The sequence below is a fragment of the Homo sapiens genome, chromosome 5, assembly GCF_000001405.40.
Source record: "Homo sapiens chromosome 5, GRCh38.p14 Primary Assembly".
Lineage (NCBI taxonomy): Eukaryota > Metazoa > Chordata > Mammalia > Primates > Hominidae > Homo > Homo sapiens.
In genome coordinates this window covers 116,680,789-116,689,805 of record NC_000005.10, presented here as the reverse complement: position 1 = coordinate 116,689,805, position 9,017 = coordinate 116,680,789, and the positions used below count along the sequence as shown (strand labels likewise).

Below are 9,017 nucleotides of genomic sequence, written 5' to 3'. Positions count from 1 at the left end.
ATGAAGCCCTTTCATTGTCAATATGTTAAGGTACTCTTTTTTGGTTTTTTTTTTTTTTGGAACAATTAACATAGTCCCATGGTCAATCCTAAATTTGGTGTTTTATGTTATGAAACAGGTTGTGGTTGCCTTCTTACTTTATACAATTTTAAAAGTTGTATACCTTCCCAAAACAAAATTTCGTCATATTGTCATTCCCTCTCAGGAACATTTCTATTCATCCTATTAGGAAGTACAGAATATATTTAAAGCTGAACTTCCAAAGAAGCCAAGAAATACTGAATTCTTTGTTGATCTCCCATCACCTTCCACCCTCAAGTTTAGCCATCTTCTGACAAGAAGCATACATGAATAAAGCTTTGTCTTGGCTATAGCAACTTTGGGCTGATAGATTTGAATACACAGAAAAAAAAAGGCCTGGCTCTTCAACTTGAAACTGGTTTAGTATTCCTCAACAATCAGATCATCACTATCAAATTTCTTAGCTAAGACTTTACTCACTTATTAAATATAGACTTGGACTAGTGTCTGAGTACTCTATGTTAAATTCACAATGAAAATTTAAGAAACACATTCCAGAAAACAACTTGGTGACATCTATTCAAAAGTCTTACAAATGTTCCTTTATGTTGATCCACATTTGATTCTACTTTTACAAATTGATCACCAAAGTATGTGTAAGAATTGTCATAGACACATTACTCATAAGTACCTATAAAAATGATACATTCTTGGCAGGGTGTGGTGGCTCACGCCTGTAATCCCAGCACTTTGAGAGGCCAAGGCGGGCAGACCACCTGAGGTCAGGAGTTCAAGACCAGCCTTACCAACATAGTGAAACCCTGTCTCTACCAAAACTACAAAAATCAGCCAGCCGTGGTGGCGGGTGCCTGTAACCCCAGCTACTCGGGAAGCTGAGGTGGGAGAATCGCTTGAACCCGGGAGGCAGAGGTTGCAGTAAGCCGAGATCATGCCACTACACTCCAGCCTGGACAACAGAATGAGACTCCATCTCAAAAAAAAAAAACAAAAAAAGATTCATTCTTACAATAGAACCCTGCTTAAAACTTTAAAATAATGCTGTGCAAAAATATTTATTCGCATAGGAAAACACATATGTTCAAGTACAAATATTTTAAAAAGCAAATATCTATTCCTAGATAGACACACATACAAACATACATACATACATACACACATACTGGTACAAACTTATGTTGGCACACATTACTTGGAATGATATGAAAACTGAAAATGGTGGCTGCATTTGGAGTGGAGAACTGGGGAACTGAGGGAGACGGAAGAAATGAGGCTTTTTCTTCACTCTCCTTTGTACTGTTTGAATCATTTACCATAAATAAAATAGGGATTGATAGAAGATAGATAGATAGATAGATAGATAGATAGATAGATAGATAGGTAGATAGATACATGGATGACTGATAAGGAAGGAAGGAAGGAAGGAAGGAAGGAAGGAAGGAAGGAAGGAAGGAAGGAAGGAAAGAGGGAGGGAGGAATGGGAGGGAGGGAGGAAGGAAGGGAAGGAAGGGAAGGAAAGAAGGAAGTAAGGAAAGGAGGGAGGGAGGGGAAAGGAAATGAAGGAAGGACAGAAGGAAGTGATGATATACGAAAGGTTATTAAACAAAATGTTGTTTTCATCCCGTAAATAGCCCCATATAACCAACTTCTGATCATAATAGCTCTCAAGCAAATCAGGTTTGATAATTTTTATTCAAATTTTCTATAGTTTTATTTTAAATTTTGCTTACTTAATGCATCAGTTTTTAAAACAAGCACGTAAATTCGCAGATTACAATGTTAATGTACATTTTCTCACATTTTTAGTGATTTCTGCCTTAGGAAATTTGAAACTATGGTGTACATAACATCTTGTAACGAATACATTTCTTGTTGAATTGAACCTTTTATCAACATGAAATATATTGTTTTTTCCCTTTAAATAATCTTAATATTGAGTTCTATTTTCTCTAATATTAATATGTTATAATAGCCTTTGTTATCATTATTGTTATTAGTATTTGCTTAGAATGTCTCTACCCATCCATATATTTTCACCTTTCTTGAGTCATTCCATTTTATGTGTCACTCATAAAAAACATATATCTGGTATTCATTTTTCAAAGCTGTGTTTCTTTGTTTCATGTGGAGTCATTTAAACCATTTACATTTATTTCTCATACTTTGTACTTGTCCCAGTCATCATTTTTGTGTGTATTATATTTACCATGCTTTGTTATTGACTCTTATTTTACCGTTTGACAAATTTTTTGGATTGATTATATTTCTTTTACATATTATATTTATTCCACATTTTTCCTTAATTGGTTGGTGGTTATTCCTCTTATTTCTGCTTTTCTAGTAGTTATACTAAAAATTTTAAGACATATTTCAATGTATGTCAAATTTATGAAAAACTTATGTTTAAATTATTGAAGCCTAGCTTTAATGAGTACTTGTAACTTCCTGTCTCCTCCTCTGACCTCTGAGCTCCCACAATGTTGAAATTATATGAGATTTTAGTTCGAAATTTTATTGTGTTTTAAATAATTCTCAGTTATAAATTATGCTTTCTTTGCTCAGTACTGCTGTTTGTTTTCCATATCTTTGAAGCTCATTTTTAATATTGCTGAAGTGTGTTCTGTATTAATTATTGCGTGGTTCACAAATGGTATGTTTTTAAGTGTTTTTGTTGTTATAAAATGTCTTAATTTACCTTTCTATTTGAATAACGGGTGGATGGATGTGGTATGGAACACAATTCTCTCAGTGCTCTGCAAATGCTAGGTATACATATTTTAAAGTTTCCTCTTGGTTGCTATATTAATCATGTCTCTTCAGATACTCTTTTTTTTGGATGTTATCTATCTTCCATGATGGGTGTTATCCTCTAAGGTATGGTGATTTTGGGTTGTGAGGTTATCATTTTATTGGCCATTTCCTTTTAGCCTGTCTCTGATCACAGCCCACCTCCAGTTACCACCCTGGAGTCCTGGGCACAGGGCTCATGCTTCCACACGGGCCTCCCCAACCACCCCGGGCACTGCCCAGGCTCCCAGATTTGCAGCAACTACCTAGAAGAGGGAAGAGGCTCACCTCCAGGAGATCTTAACAGCAAGCAACTCCCAACCAGGCCCCTGCTGTTCCCCTTCTCCTCCGCCTTCAGTTCAGCACTCTTCCTGGGCTGTCATCCCCTCCTCCATCCCCTCCTCCTAAATCTGTTTCAGGCTGTAGATTCTTCCTTCAATGTGATCTCATCTACCTCCAGCTTTCAGAGGTTCCTCATAATTTCTGCTCCACTACGGCTATACTTTCTCTTGACATATATTAACAAGTAAATGGAGGCACAATAAAATTTTAAAGAGTTTATTTGAGCAAACAATGATTCGCGAATTGGGCAGCTCCAACCAAAAAATGATTGAGGGGCTCCACAGAGAGAGCATAAGGGGAAGACTTTTATAGGACAACTGTAGAAGTAAAGCAAAGCAGACGTTTGATTGGTTACAGTTACACAGTTGTCTTATTTGGTCTATCTTATTGGAAAGTCTGTAGTTATGTAATTGTAAGTTTGTTGGCTGTGTCTGATTGGTTGAGCTTAAGATTTATTTTTCTTTAATAGGCATTTACAAGAAAAAGCTCATTAAGTTTTGCTTACGTTTGCAAATCAAGCAAAGTTGAGGTCACTTTTGAGGCCTCACTGGTTTTGTCTGCTCAGGAATTCTTCAGGCCTAGTCTCCATTTTAATTTAACGGCCGGGCACAGTGGCTCACGCCTGTAATCCCAGCACCTTGGGAGGTGGGCGGATCACCTGAGGTCAGGAGTTCGAGATCAGCCTGGGCAACACGGCAAAACCCCGTCTCTACTAAAAATACAAAATTAGCCAGGCGTGGTGGCACATGCCTGTAATCCCAGCTACTCAGGAGGCTCAGGCAGGAGAATCGCTTGAACCTGGGAGGTGGAGGATGCGGTGAGCCAAGATCATGCCATTGCACTCCAGCCTGGGCAACAAGAGTACATCTCTGTCTCACCAAAAAAAAAAAAAAAAAAAAAAAAAATTTACTTTAACATGTATATTTTTATATTTTTTTTCTCTTATTTCTAAGACTTAAGGGGAGAGAGGAGTTGAGGAGAGAGATAGAGAGATTCTGTTCAGTTTATTCCTTTGGCATAATCCCCCAGCCTTACGAACATTTTTTTTTTTTTACACACAGACACAGACACACACAGTACATCTAAACCTTAATGCTAACTCTAAATAAAGTAATTAGATCTATGTTGTTCACTATCACAAACAGTAAACCACAACCATTTCCATGACTTCCTTGGATTTGACAGGCTTTCTGAATGATCTTCCTACCCAAGAAATAGTTGCCCGAATTCATTTTTCTCTCTCTATGAGAAACTCTAGACTGCTTGATAACAAATTGCTGCCTGTTTCTTGGTGGCCCCTGTTTCCTGTGTGTCCCTCATTGCCTCCTTCCTTCTCTAACCCTCTCCCTCCCTCAGCCTGCCTTGTGGAGCCCTCCACAGTCTGCATAGGACTATTATGGCATTTGAGTCCAGTATGTTTTAAGGTTCCTTTCTTTTCTCAAAATCGAAACTTCAGAATTCGCATTTAGATCACGTAAAATAAAACTTGTGTCAGAGGCCACAACAACACATTCAGAGCCAAATAGACCACACGATAAAAATGTGGTCCACTCAATTTACTACCACACGAGTGCCACCAACATCACATGTGTACCTGCTGCACATCAGTCAGCCTTCCAGGGAAAATGTCTACAAAGCATTACTAGGTGGCCGAGTGCTTTGCAGAGATGTGAAAGCCTATGCCTAGGGCTCAATTTTTTTGGTGTCTAAGATGAATTTGGCCAGTAAATTCTACCTGATATACTCCCCGCACTGTGATATGAGCAAACAAACATATGTAACAGTGAATGAATACACACTGAAAGGCAATCTAGTGTAAAATTAAGAATCCAAACTCTGATTAAATCTGAATGTATCAAATGTGTGATCTTAGACAAATTATTTAACCTCTCTGTGCCTCTGTTTTCACATCTATAAGGTGGGGACAATAATGGCACCTACTTCTGAGAATTGTTGTGAGGATTAAATACTTAGTGTGTGCAATGTGCCTAGAATAGTACCTAGCACACAGCAAGCTTCAATTAAGTGTTTGCTAATATGACTATTACATATTACTAGCAATTGCTGCTACTATCCTCAGGAGAATAGAATTAGTCAATGACAATTTTTGGAAGAAATGCATCTTTCTTGACTTTTTCCTGACTTCCCACATACAGAACATGGGAATGGGCATCTCCAGAGAACAAACCACCCAAAGTGTGTGGAAGAGGTCACTGTAAGACTATTGGGCTGGTGCCCAGGTACCCCGAGGAGAAATGTGACTCTATGTCTTTTAGCTCCCTTAGAAAAGTTCAAAACAACTTCTCACAGCTCAGCAAACTCATCAATCCCCAATTTCCTTGGGTACCAAGCAGCCCAGAAGTTTGGAGCTGCCATGTCTCACGCAATCTCCAGCCACAACTGAAAGAGCCAGATCCCACTGTTTGGGCAATCTATCTCTGCCTGGACCATGTGCAGAATCAGGTGCTGCAGTTTTAGGCTCAGAAAAATGGCAAATGCCCACAGGCTTGCTCAAGTCATGCTCAGTTTCTGGACAGAGAGCCTCTCTTACTCAATCATGGGAGTCCAGACGATGAGGACTGGTCATGAAGGCACTTTATGGCCAGGCCCTGCTAAGAAGTCTCCTGTCAGTAACTTATATTTATTTAACCTGTATCCACTGGATACAGAATACTGTCTAAAGTGTTAGGGGAGGGTAAGGAGGGATTATCAGAAAAGAATTAAAGATGGTGCTGCTTTTGGGTTATGAAAAGGAATATAACCTATTTATGGTTCTTGGGATTGAGTGGAAGAGAGAGATAAGATTGAGGAAGGGTTTTGTTGTTGTTGTTTTTGTTTTTTTTTCACATTGACTGGATGATTGTAGTTTAAGCAAATATCTCCTTGGCCTTCCCCCATCTCTTCCGTTTTTGTGGTAGCCTCACATCTTCATTTCAAGATGTATTTGTTGGCATTCCTCATGAGTACAATAGGTCTATTTATTACATCTTAGAAATCAATACTCTGGTTTAAAAAAGTGCCCCCTGCCTTGCTTTCCCAGAGAGGATGTGTTAAAGCGTGCATCATGCACATGTGCAGCCCTGCCATCGCTTTGAACATCACTGGACACAGACACAATCTTCACTAAACCAGGTAAGACTGTAAAAGCAGCTATAGGGAAAATGCTTTTCATCAGAGCATGCCAGCGCCAGGCTAAGATATGTGAGTGTCCCAGAGTCTAATTATTTGCTTTCTTGTCCAATCAATATTCATTAAAATATTGACAAAAGAACACATGCTTAGTAAATTAAGAGGAGAATAGAATCCCTGTGGCAGTTTTCTACCTCTCTGTTTGCCCCAAGCAGTTCATCTCTTGCTTCAAACTTGCACACTCAACTCAGCAGAAGGAAAGCCCTACAATGAACCAAATCGCCACTTTTAGAAAGCAATTTAGTAACCACTAGGACCTAGGGGTCTTTACACCCCACCACACAAAGCACAGTATCAAATTATTCCTACATTTCAAACAAAACGATTCTCACCCTAAAAGGAATTCTGGTCAATATAAATGTCCCCTTCTCACTATATTTCCAGGGATGCTTTTGTGCCTTTTGTGTATCAGCCTCCCACACAGCTCTCAGCCCTGGGCAGTGCAGAATGGGGAAAAACATGTTAACAAAGAGCAGGGGAGAGGAGGGTGGCTGTGCTCTCAGCCTCACAGAAGGCTTTCTGGTGCAGGCCAGAGGCCGGGGGACCTGCCTGTGAGCATGTGGTCGTTTTCTCAAAAATAAACAAACAAGCAAGAAAGCAACAACCATCAAAAACCTCAGAGTCTAGGGAGGAAAGGAACGAAGAACGAGGTGTCATGGTAAAGTGCCAGCTTTAGTCTTGTGAGATCTCGTCTCATTTAGGGACTCTGCAGGATTTAGTTTCCAGCTTTTTCTCTGGCATCCTCCCTTTGCCAGCTCCTTAACAGAACGCTTCAGCTGGTCTCAGAGAAAAGGCATGGCCTCCATCTTCTAAAGCAGTGCTGTCCAGCAGAAGCCAATGAGGACCACATATGTAATTGCCAGACTTCCAATAGCCACATATTTAAAAGTAAGAAGAACTGGGTAAAATCAAATCTAATACCTTTCAATCCAACATATCTAAAATATTATCATTTCAACATACAAACATTATTAAAATTATTCATTTGTTTCATTCTATGTATTGGACAATGCAATTATTAGGGCTCTTAGCCTCATGGTGAGACTTGTCCCTGTGCCCAGGGAGTTTGCAGTCTGAAGAGAGGGTGGAAGTTTGAGGACCACCTGTCTGTGAGTTACTCTTGTCTGAAGGCCTATTCCAGACAAAGAGGTAGCATCGATTACTGATTGAAGGTCCAGGCTCTGAAGTCAGACCACAGATCCTCAACTCTGTCTCTTACAGCTAGGAGATTTTGAGAAACTGGCTGAATCTCTCTAAGCTTCAGATTCTTCACCTCATAGGTTGTTTTGAGGCCTGGCCATAAAAATCAATAGAAAAATATGTTCTCTAATTACATAAATTATGAAATATTGATCATTGATATAGTTATTAAGAACTTGGCATAGTCCCTGGTCTCTAAATCCCTGAAAAGGAATATTTCTAGTTTATCACTGACTGACAAAGCCCTATGATCAAAGAGAAAGAGAAAGTTAGCTGATTAGTTAGTTGAGTAGAGAAAGAGAAAGTGGAGATGAGAAACAGCATAGCAAGGGAAACAGAATTCTTATAGGCAGAGGCCCAGACACTGAATTTGCCTTGCCCCATGTCTGAAAACACCGAAGAAACGAGGAAGTCAGTGTTTAATAAGTGGGGACTTCCCAACTGTCATGTGGCTGGGACCAGAACAGCCAGCCCCTTTGGGTCATATTAACCCAGAGGAAAATCCCATTGTTTCCGTAGAAGAGGTGGGAGGTGAACAGGAGAGCAGAGGTCAGCAAGTGTCCCAGAGGGCACTGAATAAACTTTTTCTCCCCTGGCAGCAGAACTGTCCTCGCGATACAATTCCTCTTCCCTGTCAAGATTTCCTGGTCACAGTATTTCTTCTTAATACTATGTTTGTGATTAAAAACATGGAGTGAATTAGGATAGCAATGGAAGGAAACTAAAGTCTCCAGGGTTACAGGACCTCAGTCTCACGTCCCATCTTACCCCAGAAACCCCTTTCTATGTGTCCCAACAGGGTCCCTTGCCCTCTGTGTGGCCATTAGTGCAGGTGAGCTGTTTAGTTGACAAAGTAGCCTACAGCTCTACACGTTAGAAAGATCTCCCTTGTATGGAGCCAAAATATGTTTTTCTTTCCATTCCAGCTCACTCTTGGCCTGAGTTTTGCCCTCTGGACATGCCTAATATCTCTTTTATGGGACAGTTTCAAATATATGAAGGCCGCTATGACATCTCCCCTCACTTCTGCATGTATTTGCCAAACTAAACAACATCGCATTCTTCAATCCATGTCTCACTGACCGAGGTATCCAGGCTGCTTTCTTGCCCTTCATGGAATGGGCTACATTTTTGGAATGTCCTTTTAAATGGCAATGCAGTGTGGAACACTCTCCTCCCAATGCACGCTGAGCAGTACCCAAGAGATTGGACTATTGTTTGGGACACACAGCTTGTCAGTCCCATTGCACGTCTGCCTCACCATCCTTCTAGCTGATCATGGTAAATGCTGCCTGTTCTCATTCCACAATGTCTTCCCCCACCTACCCAAGCCCCACCCCACCTCTGCCTCAGCCCAGAGCCTCCTCATCGCTCACCTGGATTGTTGGCATGGTCTCCAACTGGCTTCACTACCTCCAGTCTCTCACTTCTGCAATGCCTCTTTCGCCTTGTTGCTAGAT

The 9,017-nt window shown here is 40.3% G+C and overlaps 1 annotated feature.

The window, feature by feature from the left end:
• Positions 7,745–8,174: an enhancer, noted in NCBI's record as "active region_22948". NCBI's record gives its function as "activates an Ori minimal core promoter by ATAC-STARR-seq in GM12878 lymphoblastoid cells {active_cell/tissue: GM12878}" and the evidence as "EXISTENCE:reporter gene assay evidence [ECO:0000049][PMID:35858748]".